The 24,160-nt window shown below is 44.9% G+C and overlaps 1 protein-coding gene across 4 annotated transcripts in view, besides 1 other annotated feature; it reads left to right on the forward strand.

Moving 5' to 3' along the window:
* Positions 1-9,402: 9,402 nt before the first annotated feature.
* TMC5 (transmembrane channel like 5) overlaps positions 9,403-24,160 on the forward strand; it is an 88,575-nt gene continuing 73,817 nt past the window's right edge. For 2 of the 4 annotated variants that reach the window (NM_001105248.1, NM_001105249.1), the window contains exon 1: positions 9,599-10,040. The gene's annotated coding sequence lies outside the window, so the exon portion shown is untranslated. Of the gene's footprint in view, positions 10,041-16,746; positions 16,957-24,160 lie in introns of those variants that run through there. The other 2 variants (NM_001308161.1, NM_001261841.2) reach the window with 2 other exon arrangements.
* Positions 9,617-9,696: a silencer, noted in NCBI's record as "silent region_7244". NCBI's record gives its function as "represses an Ori minimal core promoter by ATAC-STARR-seq in GM12878 lymphoblastoid cells {active_cell/tissue: GM12878}" and the evidence as "EXISTENCE:reporter gene assay evidence [ECO:0000049][PMID:35858748]".

The following is a 24,160-nucleotide window of genomic DNA, read 5'->3' on the forward strand; positions in this document are numbered from 1 at the left end:
CTGTTTTAATTGCTGGCCACACAGACCAAGTGGAGAAGGAAATATCGTAACCCTCTTGTTTTGCTCCTTGTAAGTCTGATCCGACCTTGTCCCAATCTTTTACATTCATGGTTCCATATCCTGGGAACAAAGGAGAATACTTTTCTATGAGATGGAACAAAGATGTGAGATTTTGGGTACTCACAATTACCCCGCTGTGGCACAATAACTGCTGCACCAGGCTTAAGTAATTTGCAAACTTACTTTCAGCCTGACCCATATTTTCCTGAGGTTACCCTGGAATTCTCCGAGCACCCTACTTACCCGTAGAGCCTGAAGTGAAAACGTACTCGGGCAACCTTTGTCAGTCGTCCTCCACTTTCCACGCTCTGGCGTTTCTTCACTGGATTATTTGTAGAGATTATGGGGAGCCCCACGTTGGGTGCCAGATGTTGGGGAAACCAGCCCCACACCACCCAGTGGGTACCCCAAGTCTGACAGACACAAAGGAGTTAGAAAGAGACAGAATAAGCATTTAAAAGGCGGGTTCAGGGGACCAGAGCATCAGAGGCTTGCTCACGGCCCAGAGCTCTTGGGCTTCACGCAATTTATTGGCTTACAAGCTCTTTGTTCTTAGGGCAGATGGGAGGGGGAGGAAGGGATGAGGAACAGGATTAATCAGTGAAGGAGAACTCGTGAGTCATTCGATAAGATGTGTAGCAGTGGTGGTTTCTGTGAATTTCCTTGAGCAAAGATGTGTGTCTAAACTACTTAAGATCTTTAACTTACCAGGACTGAAACAGGTGGAAGTGGGTTTCAGGAGGAGCCAAGATGTTTGATTATACTCCATTGCTTCAAGGGAGTGTAATCTCCCTGACCAACCTGTGGAATGCCGCTGAGTGGTTATGCTCCCAGGGCATAAAGACATGAAGGCAATAAGGAGACTTTTCTCCTTAGAGGCTGCCCATGGCTTCCCATGGGTGTCTCACACAGAGGAGACCAACTCAACTGGCAACCCAGAAACTCTCTTTCCCACAGGGAAATTGTGGAAGAGCAGGTTAGAAGAGTAACCCTCAGGGGTCGATTTTAGTTTTGTTAAATTTGAGATGTACCCAATATTTTTTTTTTTACGATAGGGTCTTGTTCTGTTACCCAGGCTGGAATACAATGGCACAATCATAGCTCACTGCAGCCTCTGCCTCCCAGGCCCAAACAATCTTCCCACGTCAGCCTTCCAAGTAGCTGAGACCACAGATGCATGCCACCACGCATGGCTAATTTTTTGAGGAATTTTTTTTTGAGAGATGGGGTCTACCTAATGTTGCCCGGGCTGGACTTGAACTACTGGGCTCGAGCAACCTTCCCCTGCCTCAGCCTCCCAAAGTGCTGGGATTACAGGAGTGAGCTATTGCCCCAGACTCTGAGATTCACCCTACTTTTGAGTGGGGTGATGAATTCTGATCCTGCAAGATCACATTGAAAAGGATATGTTTAAAGGGATGGGAGGACTTTGTGATAGCATGTAAAATGGTCAGCACAGTTATTACACGGAACTAAATTTCTTTTTATTTAACAAGCACTTACACACTTTTATGTGTGGCAGGCACTATAGGTATAACTCTTTATATAAGCTACTCATTAAATCCCCATTAAAGCCCAAAATGATAGGTCCTATTGTTGCAGTATTTTTCTTTAGTTCAGCTAAAGATGGGGTTTTTTGTCTCACAGCCACAAAAATTCAGGCTCACAGACAATTCGAATGGTGAGTAAGACAGGGTTTTATTGGGTGGAAAGGGAAGAAAAGGGGGAAACAGGGACTCTTGCTAGGTCAGAGTCCCTGCTAGAGCACTTCCCACCTGGCCATTCAAATCCCAGATTCCACACAGAAAGAGGAGGGGCCAGGCTCCTCCCAGCTGCAAAGTCACAAACTTGTGTGGCTCTTTCCAGTGAGCAGGCCAGTTGGAGAGGTTGGAGGTTCTCTGGGGATCCCCCTCCCACCTAGCTGTCTCATTCCCACCTCTAAAAAAGTACATCTAACTGCCATTAGATTAAGGAAAAGGACAAAGACTGATCTTAACTGCTTCCTGCTGACAGGGGATGCTGTTTTGGGGAAATGACAGTCAGAGCTCCCTCAGAGGTCTATCTAAGGGTTCCCAGCAGAAGGGACCATCATCCCAGGCTCCAGTTATATGACTGTTTGGAGTTTGATGGTCTGAAGGCAAGAACAGACAAACTAGGTTATTAGAAAACATGTATCAAAACGAAACAAGGGGAAGGGGAAGGACAGCTCAAAAATTTCAAAGCCTTTTATCAGTTTGCACAGGGAGAGGGAGACCAAAAGCCTGACTGGCAAAAAAACTTTACCTTTTGCCAGCATGTTGGGCTTCTGGGTTCCCTTCCCTTGAGGCCAATCCTAAGCCCACCAGTTTAAGGTTTGGGAAATTAACTCTTTCCAGTTTGGAGGATGCATCTGAGGGGAGTGTCCCATACTATGGAGACACAATTACCTATCAGTGATGAGAGAACAGAGGAGGAGAAAGGAAAAAGAAGGCGTTTTTCAAAGGAGTCCGGGGGCTTCAGGATGCATTTGAAAGGGGTACAGACTGAAGATGAATGGCTATCCATCTAGAAAGAGGGGAGAAGTCACCCCTGGTTCCCTTCTCTTCCTAGCAGATACCTGGGGTACATGAAGGAGAGAGGGAAGAGCGTCTTCTTTCCTCTTCCATCCTGCATTCCCGAGTCCCCATGACCTTGGCAGGCATGGCCATGAGTGCTAAAGCAGTTTGCACCCATGAAGCAGGGAGGGCCTAGAGAATAGGAATTATTCTCTCTCACCTATGCCTCTATCCCCCCTACTGTCAGTAGCCTTGGAGTTCCCTAGACCTCATTTATGCCATGGATTTTAACGTGGCCATTATCCATGAAACAGGAAGCTTGGGGTTGGCTTAATCGTCAGGAATCAGCCATGCTCACCTGCACTGTGCCTTTTAATTACTGTTGTCATTTGACTCTGGATTCCTCAGATTCAGTTTTCCTTTCCAGGGCTTTGACATGATGCTTGGAATTGAGTTTGGGATAAAAATGTGTCTCGGGGGGATTGCATGGACTCCTTACTATAAGCTGAATGCTAAGGTGAAACTGTGGAACTGAGTCCTCCTCCAACAAGGGAAAGAAGAGGATGTCTTGTGACATGCCCAGATAACTGGTGGCTATAGTTATGTTTGCCAGGATTTGGGTGCATTGTGCTTGGCTTTGGTTAGCTCCCTTGGTCTTACTTTCCCAAAAAGGAAACCTCTGGGTGATGGGCACCCTCTTTATTCCCATCACCTGGCAGGATTTGCGAGATAATTGCTCAGAACTAGAATATTGATCCAGATTTTTACATTAGCCATCCCTTTTGCTCTTTCTGAGTTGCAGTCGGAGATTACTGGTTAGTTCACAGGAACAAGCAGGGTTAGTCTAAAATGTAGGTGAAAACTTAAAAACAACTAGTGAGTTTAGAATTTAATGACAAACATATAAGTTTTGACACATGATTTCTCTCTCTCTAGTCCACATGTTTGTTAAAAAAAAAAATCATCATAGGACTGAGTGGTTTGCAGAATAGACTTCAGTCTTATACTTAGCCTGATTATTTGCATAAAGTGCAGCAAGAATAACTATTTCTACATGGCCTTTTGGATTCGCTTTGATGGAAATTTGTTCCACAGGAATCTCAGATAAGAAGACATTTTAAAGCCAAGGCTAGCCATGGATTTATCCTCAAATTCCCGTGAGTTGGGTGATCCTTTCCTCTTAAGGTCCCAAGATAAAGTTGGAGATCCTGGATGTGTTAGAAAGTGACGTTCTTTACTGACCCCAAGTCAGGAACCCTGTACAGGGACTGCGTAAGCAAGGGTATGAAGCCAGTTTCCCCCCTGGGCTTTTATTGGCTCTGCAAGTCGAGATTGACTCCTTAAAGGGAAACATACCCTTCCAGTCAAAGCCTTGGTAAAATAACCACTTTCTCCAATTGTGTCCTGTTGCAAAAGAAAACTGGATTCTTATTTGCACTGATGCAAACAACCATATTGCTGTAATTTAAGAATACTCACACATAGTTTCCAAATTCTACAGGAACCAGGTGGAGAGAAACAGACGTGCTCCAAATTTTGTTTCCAGGAGTATACCTTGCTCAATTATTAAAGGCCATAAATAGTTCAAAATAAGTTTCCTTGACTCTGAAAAACAAAACAAGGATTAGCAATGTTCCAAGCAAAAGTCAGAAAGGTTTCTTCAGCTTTTTGAGTTCAGTCCATTTAGTTAACTCTTGTTTTGCTTGATATTTGTGAACATTTCAGCTCTTTATGAGTCCTATACATTTTCCTTTATCCAATGGTACAATCTCTAAAGTTATCAGAAGTTTGTATTTGAGAGCACCTGTTAAAGTTCTATAGCTCATTATAAACTGTCTTTGAAAAGGATTAAAACAGGACAACAAATGTCTGTGAAGAGCAAAATGTCCAGGGTAGTTACAGTTAGAAACAAAATTGACAAAGAAGTTTGGTTACCTCCATGGTTTACAACAACATAACATAAAAACCTTAATTATGATTGATAGCATATACTCAGACACAAGAATTTTAGAAATCCCATATAATTTTGGAACATATATTAGCATTATTTACCAAAAATATAATCTAAAGAAGATTGAACATCATTTTGGCAATCCCATGTACCTAAACATGTCAAATAATCCTGTTTACCTCTCTTTTCTGGACACTTATGGGCCCTCTGAAACATCTGAAAAGCCAGGTGTTAGGAAAGACAATTTTGAAATTTCAGTTTGATTTTGGGACGCCTTTTAAATATGTTTAAAGCACTTGATATTATGAAATAGAATTCCAGGTTACCATAAGTTATTTATTTTGCCAAAATAATGACTCAGAAATTTAAAAGAAGCAAAAACCTTTTATAACCCTTTATGAATTTTGCCAAAGAGCAGATTGGCATTTTAAGAATACCTTGTTGTGTTTTTATTTCAATTCTCAATTTACAGAAAAACCATATAATACCCTTTTGAATTTAATTAATATGTTCACACAGAGAACCTTTTCTGCAAGATTAATCTCCACAATTCTTCCACCACTTCTTTGAACTTTCAGCTTTTTCCTATCTAATTTAAAACAATCCTTTAACCCTAGGCAAAAATGTATATTTCCATGCCTTCTTATAACCTTTTACAAAAAAAAAAAAAAACCCACATCGTACTGTTCTTACACATCTTGCACGTAAATCTATTTCCAGTAGTTTCAATTACATGTTATAATGGTAACCCCTAGCAATTTTTAACTTTAATTTAAAACCTGGCAAGTTGTTTTAATTGTGTGCTAAGTACAGATAAGTTTTGACTCCACTATAATTAAGGGTATGGTTAGTTGCATAGGTCCCCAGGCCTTACCAGTTGTGAAGCTGGCAAGTCAAATAGTTCTCAAAACCCAAAAAGCAGTTTGTAACCTCAAAACACTTAGCAAACCTAGCATTTGACCTGCATTATTTTGTCCACCTACTCACATTTTAATGACATCTGCTTTTTACAAATAATCTTTAAGACTGTTTTTATTTCTCAAAGATTAAAGTCATGTGAACTGAAAGGTACCACAGCTTTTATCTCCCCTTTAAAAAACATTAGATGCAAGCGCTTGTCTTTCTTTAGGCCAAATTAATTAGAGCTCTTTTACAGACATCACATATAATACACACACAGACAGGCAGAAGAAAACCCAGTCCTCTGGGTAGGGCCCTTTAACAGAAAAGGCTAGGAAAACATGCAAATATCAAACCAGAAAGAAACTTATTCCCTAAGGCAGGACTGCTAAACAAAGCCTTGCCACCACAGTTACAAGCCATGCCCTTGGGATGTAAAACAAGATGGAGGCTTGATTTCACAACTAAAACTTTGCAGAAAATATAAACAGTGATAGCTTTGGGGACTGGCCTAGTAAAAACGATTTCTAAAAGAAAGAAAAAAAAACTTTAAAGGTTAACTGCTGATAGGGTGGACAATAGGAAAGAAAAATAAACAGTTTAAAAATGCCTGGGGAAGAATGTCTTATTCTTATGCAAGTGGTTCCTCCACCAGGGAGACAAGTTTAAGCTTAATTACTGTCTGGTAGAATTAAACTCCTTGGCTAGGGAAAGGGAAGGCCACGGCAGGTGGCACGTGGCTGGGAACCAGCCAGCCAGCTGAACCCTTGGGCCATGCATCCCAGCCCCATGAGGGAGTGGGGAGCAGCGGGGAGCTGCTGCTTTCTGGTGCATCCCAAAAGAGGAAGGAAAAAGCCATGAGCATTAAAAGGCTCGGAAGGGAGAGAGAAAAATAATTCTTGATTTGCATCTCACTCACCACTTCTCAGGCCCCACGTTGGGTGCCAAAAATGTCGCAGGGCTTTTCCTTAGTTCAGCTAAAGATAGGGTTTTTTGTCCCATGATCATGAAAATTCAGGCTCACAGGCAATTTGAATGGTGGGTAAGACAGGGTTTTATTGGGTGAAAAGGGAAGAAAAGGGGAAACAGGGACTCTTACTGGGCCAGAGTCTCTGTTAGAGCACTTCCTACCTGGCCATTCAAATCCCAGTTTCCACACAGAAAGAGGAGGGGCCAGGCTTCTCCCTGCTGCAAACAGCACAAACTTCTGTGGCTCCTCCCAGTGTGCAGGCCAGTTGGAGAGGCTGGAGATTATTGAGGGACCTCCTCTCACCTGGCTGTCTAACTATTATTGCCCTCATTTTACAGATGAAGAAACTGAGGCAGAGAGATTAAGTAATTTGCCCAAGATTATGAAGCTAGTAAGGATATAGCAGACCTGGAATTCAAAGTCAAATAGTATGGCTTCAGAGTCCCTGCACTTAACTACTATGTTAATTAAGTAATTCATTGAATTATTTCTTATTACATGTTGGCTGTTGCTGTCATCATTATTATTTTCTTTTTCACCTTTTAACATTAAAAAAAATTTTTTTTGAGACAGGGTCTCGCTCCATTGCCCAGGCTGGAGTGCAGTAGTGCAGTCATAGTTCATGACAATCTCAAACTCCTGGGTTCAAGCAGTCCTCCTGCCTCAGCCTTCTAAGTAGCTGGGGACTATAGGCCTCTGCCATCATGCCCCCATTATCCTTGATTCTATTTACAAAGCAGAAAAGATCAAATGGACAGATAACTGTATTATATACAAGAAATTAGACTTGCCATGTGACCTCCCAACTTTGACTTTGACTCAGATGCTCACTGAAGCATTATTTCCTTAGGGAAACCTTCCCTGACACTGGGAGAATGCCCCTAATTATAAATTCTTACAACATTATATACCTCTTCTTGGTTGCAATAATCATAATTACATTTATGTCATTGTAAGGACATAATGACATTTCAATATTGTGGTAAAAACACACGTTATTAAATTTACCAGTCTTAATTATTTTTAACTGTATGGTTCATCAGTGTGAAGTATAGGAAGTATTCACATTTTGTAACAGATCTCTAGAATGTTTTCACCTTGAAAAACTGAAGTTCTATGTTCATTGCACACAAATTATCTCCCTCCTCCTTTCTCTAAGCCATTGGCAACCACCTTTCTCCTTTCTGTTTCTATGATTTTCATTGCTTTAGGTACATCCAATGATTGAAATCATACAGTATTTGCCCTCCTGTGCCTGGCTTATTTCGCTTAGCATGATGTCCTTGAGGTTCATCCACGTGGTAGTATGTGATAGGATTTCCTTCTTTTTTAAGGCTGCACAATACTCCATTGTATGTATGTAACCACATTGTCTTTACCCATTCATCTGCTGATGGACATTTAGTTTGCTTTTAATGCTTGACTATTGTGAATAATGCTGCAATAAACATGGGTGTGCAAATATCTTTTGTTGTTGTTGTTGTTTTGTTTTGTTTTGTTTTTGAGGCAGGGTCTTCCTTTGTTGCCTGGGCTAGAGTGCAGTGGCACGATTACTGTTCACTGCAGCCTCCACCTCCCAGGCTCAAGCCATCCTCGTACCTCAGCCTCCTGAGTAGTTGGAGCTACAGGCATGTGCCACCATGCCTGGCTAATTTTTGTATTTTTTTGTGGAAACTGGGTTTCACCATGCTGCCCAGGCTGGTCTCAAACTCCTGGGCTCAAGTGATCCACCTGCCTCAACCTCCCAAAGTGCTGGAACTACAGGCCTGAGCTATGATGCCTGGCCCGGATGTCATTTTGAGACCTTGCTTTGAATTTTTTTAGATATATACCTTTCTGTTTTTGTTTTTTTGCCACTATACTGTTTTCCACGGTGGCACCCAATTTGCATTCCCACCGACAGTGCACAATTTCTCCACATCCTCATCAACACTTATTTTTTGTTTGTTTGTTTTTGTTTTTTGATAGTGGCCAGCCTAGTAGATGTGAGCTGGAAATGTTGCGGGATTTTTTTTTTTTTTTTTTTGAGACGGAGTCTTGCTCTGTCGCCCAGAGCTGGAGAGCGGTGGCGCGATCTCGGCTCACTGCAAGCTCCGCCTCCCGGGTTCATGCGATTCTCCTGCCTCAGCCTCCCGAGTAGCTGGGACTACAGGCTCCTGCCACCATGCCCGGCTAATTTTTTTGTATTTTTAGTAGAGACGGGGTTTCACCATGTTAGCCAGGATGGTCTCGATCTCCTGACCTCGTGATTCGTTGGCCTCGGCCTCCCAAAGTGCTGGGATTACAGGCTTGAGCCAGTGCGCCTGGCCTGTTGCGGGATTTTTAAGGAATCACAGAGACCTATGGGGTTCAGGAGGATATTTATTAATTATTTAGGTGCACCGGCCCAGTCGGATTAACATCCAAAGGACTGAGCACTGAACAAAGAGTTAAGTTAACTTTTAAGCATTTCGTAGGGGTAGGGAGATCTGTGCAGGGGGAAGCATACTACAGAAGCGAGAAACAAAGGCAGTTATTCAATTGAGACATGCATTACATCATTTCTTACTTTTCAAGGAAAAACATGTTTTGTTACTTGAGTTTATCTGTCTAGTGACCTTGCAGCTACACAGCTAGGGAATCAGGGTCTTCACAATGCCTGGGAAAGGAGGGGAGAGAAGGCTCACTAGCCACAGAAAAATAGGCAGTTAGTTTTAAAAGGACTCCAGCTCTTTCTCTTTCTCAGGGGGAATTGAGTTTTCTTACATACAACTGAGTTTCTGCTTATACACTCTTTAATTTCTTTTAATTCCTGTTCCAATATCTCATTATGGTTTTGATTTGCATTTATCTCGTAGTTACTGATAATCATTAGAGGACTTGCATCTCTCAGGATTAGATGATGTGGCTCTTGGCCAGAGTTTTGGAGAGCACAGCCCTGGCCCATGAGCCTGCTGGGTCCTCCGAGCGCCGCCCCACCCAGGCCTGCGCGGCGTCTGGTGGCCATCAGGTAAGGCTGGGTCATGGAAAGAAAGAATGAATGCAGACTACGGGCGGTGAATAGAGGTCTCGGATGCCAGCAGGCGTCCCAACCCAGCAGGAACTGGCTCAATTCTCAGAAGAAAGCGATCGGCCCCGAGGCAGGAAGGCCGGCTCCGGTGCAGGGAGCGCCGCCTGCGGGCTGCTTCGGGCCAGGGTCGACCCGAGGGCCAGCGCAAGCAGCGGCAACAGGAGCGCCAGGAGGTGAGGCGGGTTCGCCAGGAGTGGGGCCAGCGCCCGGGCTGCCAGCCTAGCAGGGGCGTCTTGGCGGAGCCCCCTCGCCGGCTCCCAGAGAGGCTGGGAAGAACTGGGAGGGGTGTCCCCAATGCGGGGCGCCCAAGCGTGGCAGCACGGGCTGGGAGCGGGGAGCCAGCGGGGTGCGGCGCCGGAGTGCGGGGAGAACCACCAGGCGCCGGAATTGGGGAGCACGTGGAGGGGGCAGCGGCTCCAGCCCCAGACCGCCGCGCTCTGTCACTTTGCATTAAGAAAGCTTCCGGGGAATGCACACGGCCTGGCCGCCGCCTTCGTGCAGCCCGCCCTGCAGGTGCAGGAAGAAAAGAATAATCGCACCCGTTTCTCAGGTGCTTACTTCACCATGTCCGATCCGGTAAGTTTTTTATCTGAGCAGCGGCCTGGGTGAGAGCGAACATGAGCTTTGGAAGCGCACTATTTGTGTGTTGTGCATCTCTGGACAGGTTACTTATGCTCTCTGGGCTCCAGTTTCCACACCTGTTTAAAAAAACAAAAGGAAAAAGAAAGGTTAAAATTAGACTTCCCTCACAGAGATTCTGTGAGCCTTGTTTGCTTCCTAAATGTTAGATGTTGTTATTTCTCCTGGGGTAATCTACGAAATAGGGTCTCCTGGTCCTATTTTACCCTTGGGAGATCCAGTTTCAGACAGTTAAGTAACTTGACCACAGCAATTAAATGGAAACTGTGGGATTTGAACTCAGGAAGTCAAACTCCGGAGACTGAATATTATCTAATCCAGGTCCCACCATTTCTCAGAAGGGTGAACTTGGGTTTGCCACTTCTGGGATCCTTTTCCCTATCTGTGAAACAGGTGCAATAATAGTAGCTTGCCTATGGGGTTGTGAAGATCTACTGAGCTAACCCACATACGTGTCCCCCTACTAATGTGTGCATTCCAGAAGGGTAGGATTTTTTTTGTTTTGCTTGCAGATACATCCCCAGTGCCTGGCACACAGTAGATGTCCTATAAATACTTGTTGAATGAATAAGGGGCATGTGTTACCTTTTATCCTTTCAATAACCCCTGCTAGTTCCAGACTGCAGATTAGGAGACAAAGGTTCAAAGAGGTTGAATAAGTCACCCCATGTTACCTGGGTGGTCTGTAGAGGAGTCTGTGTGATCTTGACATGCAATCCAGGTTCCATCACCTCCTAGCACAGTGAATGTGGCAGTTATCTGATTCTTCTGTGCCTCAGTTTCCTTATCTGTAAAATGAGGACAATAATGGCACCTATCCTATAGGGTTTTTGTGGGATTTTTTTTTTTTGAATTGTTGTCTCGCTCTGTTGCCCAGGCTGGAGTGCAGTGTTGTGATTGTAGCTTATGCAGCTTCAACCTCCCAGGCTCAGGCGATCCTCCTGCCTCAGCCTCCCGAGTAGCTGGGACCAAAGGCACGCACCACCATGCCTGGCTAATTTTTTAAATTTTTGTAGAGATGGGGGTCTCACTATGTTGCCCAGTCCAGCCTTGAACTTCTGGGCTCAAAAGATCCTCCTGCCTCAGCCTCCTAAAGTGCTGGGATTACAGGCATGAGCCACCAAGCCCGACTTTCTTTTTTTTTTTGAGACAGTCTCGTTCTGTTGCCCAGGCTGGAGTGCAATGGTGCAATCTCAGCTCACTGCAACCGCTGTCTCCCAGGTTCAAGCAATTCTCCTGCCTCAACCTCCCAAGTAGCTGAGATTACAGGTGCCCACCACCAGGCCTGGCTAATTTTTTTGTATTTTTAGTAGAGATGGGCTTTCATCATGTTGGCCAGGCTGGTCTTGAACTCCTGACCTCAGTTGATCCACTCGCCTCAGCCTCCCAAAGTGCTGGGATTACAGGCGTGAGCCACCGCACCCAGCCCGAGCCCACCCTTTTGTGGGGATTAAAGATGAAACACTCGGAACAGTGCCTGGCACTTAGTAGGTGCTCAATCAACATTAGCTACAGTAAATGCTGTGACCGCCCTCTACAGGAGTGGGGGAATGGCACAGTAGTTGCATCCATAAAGCACTTTTTCCTTGAACCCCTTCTCATCTATTTATTTATTTAGTTTTAGAGACTGAGTCTTGCTCTGTTGCCCAAGTTGCAGTGCAGTGGCACAATTGTAGCTCACTGCAGCCTTAAAGTCACGGCTCAAGCGATCCTCCCACCTCAGCTTCCTGAGTAGCTGGGACTACAGGTGCTCGCCTCTACACCCAGCTGATTTTTTAATTTTTTGTAGAGACAAGGTCTGGCTGTGTTGCCCAGGCTGGTCTCAAACTCCTGGCCTCAAGCAATCATCCTGCCTCAGCCTCCCAAGTAGCTAGGGCTTTAGGCGCACCCTACCACCCGCTTCTCATCTAGACAGTCACCTTGCAGGGATCTCCACCTGTCAAAGTTTTGGAGAGTTCTGTGTTCTGGTAGGACAAATGCTGCCTTTAAGTGTGCCAGGGCAGGCTGGGCATGGTTACTCAAGCCTGTATTCCCAGCACTTTGGGAGGCCAAGGTGGGCAGATCACTTGAGTCCAGGAGTTCCAGACCAGCCCAGAGAACACGGCAAGACCTCGTCTCTACTAAAAGTACAAAAATTAGCTGGGTGTGGTGGTGCATGCCTGTGGTTCCAGCTACTCGGGAGGCTGAGGCACAAGAATTGCTTGAGCCCGGGAGGCAGAGATTGCAGTGAGCTAAGATTGCGCCACTGCATTCCAGGCTAGGCGACATTGCCAAACCCTGCCTCAAAAAAAAAAAAAAAAAAAAAAAAAAAAAAAAAAAAGCCAGGGCAGTTTCTGGGGACAGTAAGGCTGGCATGGGATGGGAAGGGCATTGTGCTTTCCTCTTAGTGGGAGGCACTACATCCTTTAATATGGTACTTGGTGGATGAGGAATCCTAGCCTTTTAACATAATCATAGTCTTTCATGCCTGTTCTGCTTACCATGTGTCTGATATTGTGCTTAGTCCCAGCCCTAGTCATCTACAGAACTCAGGCTCCAGAGCCAGACCTCCTGGGTTAAAATCCTGCCTCTGCCACTTTCTTGCCTCTGCCACTTTCTTGCTGTGTGACCTTGGGCCAAGTTACTTAACCTCTCTGTGCTTCAAATGACTCATCTGTAAACTGGGATGATTCTAGTAGTACCTAACTCATAGGGCTGCTGTGAGGATTAAATACAACCCACACATAGACGGTGACAGAACAATGTAAGGATAAATGTTGGCCACTTACGTATTACAATGACTTCCATTTTATAGCTGAGGAAACTGAGTCAGGCTCAGGGAAATTCATAACCCATCCAATGACATAGAACTATCCTTCCTGTTCCAGCGTCTGCTCATTTATTTTCATTTCCCTCTTAATTCATGCCCCCCTCATTGTACCCCCTAATTCAATCATCAGCCTCTATCTAGGGTCCCTGCTTTCTGTGTCTGGGGCTCCCACATCTGCTGCTTCCAGAAGGTTCTCCCTCTTTCTCACTTCCCAAACTTGAGGAGCTCCCAGTGACCTTGGAAATAGATCTTTTTCTTTGACTGTTCCTGTTGTTTTCTCCAATTACTAACACAATACTCATGCAAATTATTTTAAAAATTTATTTATAAAAATATTTTCATAGAAGGTGAAAAACTCTGCTAATTCACCCTCTGGTGATAACTGCTGCTTGGAGTTTCATGTGTGTTATTCCAGATTTCTCCCTCTCCTCCTGGGTGTAATAATACAGATTATTTTTACTTATCTTTTAAAAAGATGTGACCGTGCTATTCATACTGTGTGCAATTCACAGGAGACAATTTTCAAGATTTCACTTATTTTTTGAAAAAGTTACACTGCCACGTGGTATAAAACCCCAAAGAGACCAGGCACAGTGGCTTGTAATCCCAGAACCTTGGGAGGCTGAGGCGGGAGGATCGCTTGAGATCAGGAGTTCGAGACCAGCCTAGGCAACATAGGGAGACCACCCCCCGATCTCGACAAAAAAGAGAAATTAGGTGGGCATAGTGGTGAGTTCCTGTAGTCCCAGAGCCTTGGGAAGCTGAGGCAGGAGGATCGCTTGAGGCCAGGAGTTCGAGACCAGCCTAGGCAACATAGGGAGACCCCATCTTGACAAAAAAGAGAAACTAGGTGGGCATAGTGGTGAGTTCCTGTAGTCCCAGCTGCTCAGGAGGCTGAGGCTTAGGCAAGAGGATCGTTTGAGCCCAGCCTGGGTGACAAAGCAAGGCTCTATCTCTAAAAAAGAAAAATGGAAAAAATCCAAAGGATATCTAAGCAAATACTGAAAAGTATCTCCCTCCATATCTATCTCCAGCCACCCAGTTTCTCACTCTGGAAGCAACCAGTATTGCCAACTTATTGTCTACCTGCAGACAAGAAACGTATAATTACAGTTTATAGGGCATATATGTGTCATAAACCGAAATATGTAAAAATATGGTATAGTTTCTAGAAGAGGAGAAACAGAGGGGAGAAAACTCTATTAGAGAAAATGTTGAGTTGCTGATTTCCTTGTCCCACGCAATGGAGAGCGAGGAGACACTGTCCATGGAACTAGGTAACATTTAGAGCAGTGGTTCTCAGGGGGAGGCAGTTTTGCCTCCCAGGGGATATTTGCCCATTCCTGAAGACATTTTTGGTTGTCGTAGCTTGCAGATGGGGTGGGGTTGGGGTGTCCTCCTGGTATCTAATAGATAGAAGCCGGACATACTGCTAAACACCCTACAATGCACAGAGCAGTCCCCCCAGCTCCCCACAACAGGCAGTTGTCTGGCCCCAAATGACAGTACTGCCAAGGTTGAGAAATCCTGACTTATAGCTACAAAAGAATCAAAATCACTGCTTTGACTTCTTGCCAGGAGCTCGTTTGGCGCAGCTCCACAATGATTGGCAGGCAGAACCGCACGATCCAGGTGTTCCTAGAGTCAAATGCTGCCAGGTACTGCCCTTTCACCCCAGTAATGACAGCTCTTGGGGCAAACCAAACTGTCTTCTTGGAAACCACCACCCTCCTCCTCTCATTTCCTCTGATCATACAATTTATAACTCAGGTCTCTTCCACAGGAGAAAATTCCATTTCTCCATTGGAAAGCCACTGTTTTGCATTTAGTGCTAATACATCAAAGATTGGGGCTGGGTGCAGTGGCTCATGCCTGTAATCCCAACACCTTGGGAAGCCAAGGTGGGATGATCACTTGAGCCCAGTAGTTTGAGACAAGCCTGGGCAACGTAGAGAGACCCCATATCTATAAAAATTTAAAATGTTAGCCAAATGTGGTGGTACATACCTGTAGTCTCACCTCCTTGGGAGGCTGAGTGAGGCAGGAGGATTGCTTGAGCCCAACAGTCAGAGGCTGCAGTGAGCTATGATTGCACCACTGCATTCCAGCCTTGGTTGACAAAGCAAGAGCCTGTCTCAAAGGAAAAAAAAAAAAAAGAGGAACGGTAACTATAGACCCCAATACTTTCTGTGAATTATAGAACTAGGACATTCTTTTTTTCTTTTAAATGATACTCCCCCAAATGCAAATGCCATAGGAAACAGATTTTGTTTGTTCTGGTATTTGTAAAAATACAGAAATTTGATCCAGCCCTCAATTGTCTACCTCCTTCTTTATTTCTGTATGAATATAAAATCTCCTTCTCAGAGAAAACCCTTTGTGATGGATTAGCATCCCATCTGCTGGGGTTTATCCCTGGGAATGTGAGTCTTAGGTGGCTAGAAATAATCTTAGTCCAAACTTTCTCAAATGTTAACTGATGTAGCCCTTATCAACACTAGGAGGAGGGAGTGTATATAGTTCCCACTTTGTAGGTTAATGGGGAGGAAATTGAGGCTCAGAGGAGTTGAGACATTACAGTCTTAGAGTGCCAGAGTCAGCATTTGAATTCGAGTCAACTGTCTTGAAATGTGGGCTGGTTTTATACTGCCTGTCCTTTGTTTCCAGAAGGGACATGCCATTGGTGATCATAACTACAGAGTTAAACCTGTATGGTCCGCATGTTGCCAAAGGGGATGTATCTATAGAAAAATGTGGCCAGGCGGCCAGATGCAGTGGCTCATGCCTGTAATCCCAGCATTTTGGCAGGCCGAGACAGGTGGATTACCTGAGGTCAGGAGTTCAAGACCAGCCTGGCCAACATGGTGAAACCCCATCTCTACTAAAAATACAAAAATTAGCCAGGTGTAGTGGCAGACACCTGTAATCCCAGCTACTCGGGAGGCTGAGGCAGGAGAATCACTTGAACCTGGGAGGCGGAGGTTGCAGTGAGCCCAGATGGCGCCATTGCACTCCAGCCTGGGCGACAGAGCAAGACTCAGTCTTCAAAAAAAAAAAAAAAAAAAAGAAGAAAAGAAAAACGTGTCCAGGCCAGGTGCAGTGGCTTACGCCTGTAATCTCAGCAGTTTTGGAGACCGAGATGGGTGGATCACTTGAGCTCAGGAGTTCAAGACCAGCCTGGGCAACACGACAGAACCCCAGCTCTTCAAAAAATACAAAAATTAGTCAGGCATGATGGCTTGCACCTGTGGTCCCAGCTGCTTGGGAGGCTGAGGCAGGAGGATCCCTTGAGTCCAGGAGGCGGAGGTTGCAGTGAGCTGAGATTGTGGCACTGCACTCCAGCCGAGGTGACAGAGGGCAACGCTGTCTCAAAAAAAAAAAAAAAAAAAAAAGGAGCCAGTGCCCGGGGGTGTCTAGTGGAGCATCACGTTCCATTCTTTGTTGGATTAATGAATTCAGGTAGTCTCTTCCCACACCACCTCACACTCTAGGGTTAAAAAAAAAACACAAAACGAATCTATTTACTTCCTTATGGTGTCCAAGAAATAAAATAACCTCTAGAAAGGACTTTGATATTTTCATTGAGCTGATAACAAAAGAATATTAATGAGAGGGAGGAGTTAGGGCTTAGGAAGAAGGAAATGCACAACTTGGGACCTGAGTTAGGCCTTCATCGTCGCGGACTCAGTAGACAGAGGCCATAGGTGCAGCTGTGATGGTAGAGGTGGAAGACTGATTTGCATTTTCACCAGGTGAGACCTGGTTACTCATTGGTTGATGAGGAAAGAGATGATAGCCAGGGCGGCATAAAACGGCAATGAGCTCAGTAAACAACCCCCTTCCCGTGATCTTCGTGGCTTCCCGCCCAGACGTGTGACCAAGATAGCAAGGAGCAGTCTTTAAGGCGACACGGCAGAGAGGCAGAAAAAGATGGGCCTTACCGGTTAGTTAAGAAAAAAAGAGGACCTGTTGCCTGTCCCTCTAGCTTTGAACTACAAAGTGGAGGGGAAGTTTGTCTGGATTTTCCTGTAGAACTGAGGGCAGGTAAGTGAAAGTGCTTTGAAGGAGGGGTGGGAGGTCATGGGAATAATGCGGAATGCTTGGGAACGTGTCAGCGAAGGAGGACGGAAACTGAGGCTGTCGTATTGCTTATTGCCAGACGAGGGTACAGAATTGAGGCACAACAGATGTTTGTTAGAGGAAAGAATGACCAGGGGAAATGGGAGGCAAGAGAGTGTTGATTATGAGAACAAGCCCTAGGGTTATCTGCTTGAGTTGGAATCTGGGCTTCCCCAGGTCTAACTGTGGGATTCTGGGTCAGTTATTGTATGTTTCTGGCCTTGGTTTCCTTGTCTGTAGAATGGGTAGTATGCCAAAAGCTCCCACTTCCACAGGTGGATATCAGAGCTAATAAAATACGGTGCACGACAAACACGCAATAAATGTGACCTCTATGTCTGGGGGTGTCTCCTGGAGCATCATGTTCTAGAAGAATGCTTTGTTGGATGAGTGAATTCAGGTGGTCTCTCCCAATGGTATTTCATTTTCTGAGATTTAAAAAAAAATCTATTTACTTCTTTATGGTGTTCAAGAAACAATAACTTCTCATTTTTCTCATTCTTCTCATCCTTCTCATTTTTCTCATCCTTCTCTTCTTCCTCTGATAAGTGATTTTTGTGTTTTTTTTTTTTTTTTTCGAGACAATATCTCACTCTGTTGCCCAGGCTGGAGTACAGTGGTGAAATCATAGCTCACTGCAGCCTTGATCTCCTGGGCTCAAGCAATCCTCCTGCTTCAGCCTTCTGAGTAGCTGAGACTATAGGCACATGCCACCATGCCCGCCTACCTTTTATGATTTTTAGTAGAGACAAGGTCTGACTATATTGCCTAGGATGGTCTCAAACTCCTAAGCTCAAGCGATCCTTCTGCCTCAGCCTGCCAAAGTGCTGGCATTACAGGCATGAGCCACCATGCACTGCCAACAATGATGTTGTTGATGATGATGATCCAAGCCCAGCGTATGCAATCAGAGAGGTATGGGTTTGAATCCCATTCTGCCTCTGTTTAGCTGTGTGACCTTGAGTGAGTTACTTAACCTCTCTGGGTCTCAATGTAATCATAAAATGGGGATAATAATACCTCCCCATAAAGTTGTTTGAGCATTCAGTTGCTGATACATGTGAAGGGCATAGCCCTGTGCCTGGCATGCATGTCAGCACTCAATAAATAGTGCTGTCTTCATGCTTATTACTGTTGTTGTTATTATTATTAACTTATTATTATTGTTATTGTTTGACTAGATTCTTTCTACACTAGAGAGGGGAAAAGAAGCTCAGTGGAAATGAATGTGTTGGTTTTTTTTTTTTTTTTTTTTTTTTTTTTGAGACAGTGTCTTGCTCTGTCGCTCAGGCTGGAGTGCAGTGGTGCGATCTCGGCGCATTGCAAGCTCCGCCTCCCAGGTTCACGCCATTCTCCTGCCTCAGCCTCCGGAGTAGCTGGGACTACGGGCGCCTGCCACCATGCCCGGCTAATTTTTTGTATTTTTAGGAGAGACGGGGTTTCACCGTGTTAGCCAGGATGGTCTGAATCTCCTGACCTCGTGATCCATCCGCCTCGGCCTCCCAAAGTGCTGGGATTACAGGCGTGAGCCACCGCGCCGGGCCACTAATGTTAAAAGTAGGGTTTATTGTCATACTTTGCCAGAAAAGGTCCTGTCCCCAGAAGACAGGGTCAAGTTCAAGCTATAGAGTATCTTCATAAACACTTAATGAATAACGCAATGAATCATATTTGCCAAGATTTTTCGGGATGACGTGGCAGGAGGTGACGCTATTATTGCTCAGGTTATTTCTAGTCACCCAACGTTCATCATTCCCAGAGATAAATCACAGCAGCTAGAATGCTAATCATCAGTTATGGTCATTTCTGCGAAGGCATTCATAGGGAAAGGAATATTTATAGGGAGTGTAGTGGTGTGATCATAGCTCATTGCAGCCTTGAACTTCTGGGCTTGAGTGATCCTCCTGCCTTAGCCTCCTAAGTAGCTGGGACTACAGGCGTGCACCACCATTAATGATTAAAAATCAACTAATTTTAGGCCAGGTGTGGTGGGTCACGTCTGTAATCCCAGCACTTTGGGAGGCCAAGGAGGGCAGATCACGAGATTAGGAGATCAAGACCATCCTGGCCAACATGGTGAAACCCTGTCTCTACTAAAACACAAAAAAAAATTAGCCAGGCATGGTGGCACACACCTGTAGTCTCAGCTACTGGAGAGGCTGAAGCAAGGGAATCACTGGAACCCACGTGGCGGAGGTTGCAGTGAGCTGAGATCATGCCACTGCACTCCAGCCTGGCAACAGAGCAAGACTCCGTCTCAAAAAAAAAAATAAAAAAAATTAAAAATCAACTAATTTTAAAATTTTCTGTAGAGACAGAGTTTCACTCTGTCCCCCAGGCTGGAGTGCAGTGGCATGATCATAGTGCACTGCAGCCTCAACTCCCTTGTTTCAAGTCATCATCCAGGCTCAGCCTCCTGGGTAGCTGGGACTAACGGCTGCATGCCACTGTGCTCAGCTAATTTTTAAAATTTTTTGTAGAGCCAGGGTCTTGCTATGTCACCTAAGCTGGTCTCCAACTCCTGGTTTCAAGCAATCCTCCTGCCTCAGCCTCCCAAAGCCCCAGGATTACAGGATTGAGCCATCTCGCCTGTCTGAACATAGGTATAATTTAAAAGAAAAAAAGACAGTCCTGTGTTTAGAATTCACCAGAAGAATTGGAAGCCCATAGTTACAGTTCCCAGCCTTTGATGTGTTAGCACCCACATCCAAAGCAAAATAGTGGCTTTCCAAAGGAGAAATGGAATTTTATCCTGTGTCAGAGACTTGAGTTATAAATTACACGATCAGAGGAAAGGACTTAAAATGAGAGGAGGTGAGTGGAGATCTCCAAGAAAATGGTTTAGGTCACCCCAAGAATTGTCATTCCTGAGGTGAGATAACAGGACCTGGCAGTATGAGACTCATGGACACCTGGATCGCAAGGTTGTGTCTGTCAGTCAGTGTGGCACTGAGAAAGATCAGAGCTGGAGCCAAAAGCACAAAGCAGTAATTGTGATCCTGTCTGTTTTGAACATGTTGATTTTTTTTTCATCATGGGTTTTTTGCACTTATTTTTATTTTTAAAAGTATCATGTTAAAATATTATTTATTTTGATGATATGGTGTGTCCCCACCCAAATCTCATCTTGAATTATAGCTCCCATAATCCCCACATGTCATGAGAGGGACGCTGTGGGAGGTAATTGAGTCATAGGGGTGGGTTTTTCCCATGCTGTTCTCATGGGAACACGAGATCTGACGGTTTTATAAAGGGCAGTTCCCCTGCACACACGCTCTTGCCTGCCGCCATGTAAGATGTGCCTTTGCTCCTCCTTTGCCTTCTGCCATGATTGTGAGACCTCCCCAGCCATGTGGAACTGTGAGTCCATTAAACCTCTTTTTCTTTATAAATTACCTAGTCTCAGGTATGAAAATGGACGATACACTTGATTACTGGGATTTTTGGCCCCCTTTAAATTTGCACCTCAGCTCAGCACTTATCTTACTCCCTCACCCTAGTCCTGGCCCTGCTGCAAACAGCATTGAATCTAGAAACTTCCCAAGCTTGATGTCATACTTACCCAGCATGGGAGAAAAGGTAGCAGAATTCAAGAGGTGAATGTGGAACAAATCAGAGTTGAAAAAAGAAAATTTGAGCCAGGTGTGGTTGGCATACACCTATAGTCACAGCTACTCAGGAGGCTGAGGCAGGAGGATGGCTTGGGCCTAGGAGGTTGCATCACTGCACTCTGGCCTGGATAACAGAGTGAGACTCCATCTCTTAAAAAAGAGAGAGAGAGGGCCGGGCGCGGTGGCTCACGCCTGTAATCCCAGTACTTTGGAAGGCCGAGGTGGGCGGATCACGAGGTCAGGAGATCAAGACCATCCTGGCCAACATGGTGAAACCCCGTCTCTATTAAAAATACAAAAAAATTAGCTGGGCATGGTGGCACATGCCTGTAGTCCCAACTGCTCAGGAGGCTGAGGCAGGAGAATTGCTTGAACCTGGGAGGTGGAGGTTGCAGTGAGCCAAGATCACACCACTATACTCCAGCCCGGGCAACAGAGCTAGACTCCATTTCAAAAAAAAAAAAGAGAGAGAGAGAGAAGACAGAATTTGCTATGACTCAAAGATATTTAAAGGGGGGGAAAAGAGAGAGAGAAAGAATTTGCTTTTCTGCTTCCCTGAATGGGGTGAAAAGAGGGACATTTAGGATACTGTATTTCAAAGGAAACTCCAATGCCCTGCTTCCAAACCACTTTCCAGGTGTCTCCGTTTACTTAGGGACCTGGATTGCTCGAGAACCTCCATAATCATATGTTTGCATTTTTAAGTACTTACTTAATTTATCTTTTTTATTTGGAAATCACATTTTTTATTTTCAAAACATTGTAAGCAGCTGGGTATGGTGGCTCACGTCTGTTGTAGCCCAAGCACTTCGGGAGGCCAAGGTGGGAGGATCTCTTGAGCCCAGGCATTAGAAATCAGCCTGGGTGCAACAATGTCTCTACAAAAAAAATTTAAAAATAGGCCGGGCCCAGTGGCTCACCCCTGTCATCCCAGCACTTTGGGGGGCCGAGGTGGGTGGATCATGAGGTCAGGCCTGGCCAACATGGTGAAACCCCATCTCTAATAAAACTACAAAAAAATTAGCTGGGCGTAGTGGTGGGCACCTGTAATCCCAGCTGCTTGGGAGGCTGAGGCAGGAGAATTGCTTGAACCTGGGAGGTGGAGGTTGCAGTGAGCTGAGATTGAGCCATTGCACTCCAGCCTGGGCCACAGAGCGAGACTCAGTCTGGATGTTAATTAATTAAAAAATAAAAATTCAGCCAGTCGTGGTGGCATGTGCCTGTGTTGCCAGCTACTCACGAGGCTGAGGCAGGAGGATCGATGGAGCCCAGCAGTTAGAGGCTCCAGTGAACTGTGGTTGCACCGCTGCACTTACCCCTTCTCCTTTCTCTTCCTTCTCCCATTCTTTTCTCTCCCAATTTTGTTTCATTGTTTATAATTTGTTGTTTCCTTCATAGCGATAAATCAAGATATCTCAACTTTTGTATGACTGACACATTGGACCAGATCATTCTTGGCTGTGGGGGCTGTCTTGTGCATTAGAGGATGGTTAACAGCATCCCTGGCCTCCACCCACTAGATACCAGTAGCACACTCACTGCAGTTGTGACAACCAAAAGTTTGCCAGACTTTGCTCAGTGTCCCTTGAGGGCAAAATCACTCTCAGTTGAGAACCACTGCCAATGATGATGTACTTACAGTTCCTTAAACTTGGACAGCGTCGCTGACTCTCCACTTCATAAGAGAAGGAATTTAGCACCTCAACATTTTCCCCTAATAAAGTTCTACCCCCTGCATTTCCCCACTTCTAAAAATTATTTTTTACATATTGTGGTTTATAAGCTTGCGTTTTGTGTCTTATAAACTACAATTATATGTTTCTTGCATTGTAGGTTGAATACTAGGAAAAAAGTTTTTTCCCACTGTACTTTCAACAAAGAACACTTCTGTGATCAGATATTGGCGGGGGTTGAGAGGTCCACACTGACCAAGTCTCCAACACCAGCTGGGTGCCCCACAATTTTATTGTTATTATTATTATTATTATTTTGAGACAGAATCTTTCTCTGTTACCCAGGCTGGAGTGCAGTGGTGCCATCTTGGCTCACTGCAATCTCCACCTCCCAGGTTGAAGCGATTCTCCTGCCTCAGCCTCCTGAGTAGCTGGAACTACAGGCATGTGCCACCACACCTGGTTAATTGTTTTTTATTTTTAGTAGAGACAGGGTTTTGACATGTCGGCCAGGCTTGTCTCAAACTCCTGACCTCAGGTGTTCTGCCCACCTCAGCCTCCCAAAGTGCTGGGATTACAAGTGTTAGCCACCACACCTGCCACCACAGTTTTATTGAATTCTAACATAATGTGACTGGAGTTAGTGTCAGAACCCACAGGTTAAGGGCTCAGCGCCACAAGACTGCCTCCCAACTTTAGATATCAATTTCAAGTCCTGGCCTTGGGAACTTCTGACCAGCTGGCTGTAAAGTAGAAGTTTTTGTGACTTTTCCACAGGTTCAGTTATTTTCTAGAATGGCTCACACAACTCAGGGAAATCTTTACTTAGGTTTACCTGTAAACCTATAAACCATATCATATTATGGTAACCATATCATATTACCCGTAAACCGTATCATATTATAAAGAATATGATATGCTGGGAGTGGTGGCTCATGCCTGTAATCCCAGCCCTTTGGGAGGCCAAGGCGGGTGGATCACCTGAGGTCAGGAGTTCGAGACCAGCCTGGGCAACATGGCAGAAACCCGTCTACAAAAAATACGAAAATTAGACGGGCACGGTGGCGGACCCCTGTAATCCCAGCTACTAGGGAGGCTGAGACAGGAGAACCACTTCAACCTGGGAGGCAGAGGTTGCAGTGAGCCGAGATGGCGCCATTGCCCTTCAGCCTGGGTGACAAGAGTGAAACTCTGTCTTAAAAAAAAAGAATATGATAAAGGATACAGGTGAATAGCCAGGTAAAGAAGTACACAGGGTAAGTTCCAGAAGAGTCCCAAGTTCAGGAGCTTCTGTCCCAGTGAGTTGGGGTGTGTCACTCTCTAAGAATGTGGATGTGTTCAACCTGAAAGATCTCCAATCTCTTCATTGAGGGTTTTTATGGAGGTTCCATTGATTATTAAATCAATCTCCAGTCCTTCTTTCGTTCCTGGAGGATGAGGGGCAAGGCCGAAAGTTGCAAGCTTCTAACCCTGGCTTGGTCTTTCTGGTGAGCAGCCTCCATCCAGGAACCCCTGTTGAAAGCTGCCTCATTGGAACAAAAGACATTCCCGTAACCCAGGAATTTCCAAGGGATTAGGAGCTCTGTTTTAGGAACCGGAACCAAAGACCAAATACTAGAACAAAAGACACTCCCATCACCTAAGAAATTCCAACGTTTTAGGAGCCTGTGCCGGAAACCTGGAATAAAGACCAAAGATATATTTCTTATCACAAATCACAATATCACAAGTAGATTATAAAAGATGAAAACTACCTGGCTTCAAAGCTGTGGTTATGTGTGCATTAGAGAAGTTGACTTCCTAGAAAGGGACATCTAATTCTATGTCACTTTATGTCACTTAATC

This window comes from Homo sapiens, chromosome 16 (assembly GCF_000001405.40).
Source record: "Homo sapiens chromosome 16, GRCh38.p14 Primary Assembly".
NCBI lineage: Eukaryota > Metazoa > Chordata > Mammalia > Primates > Hominidae > Homo > Homo sapiens.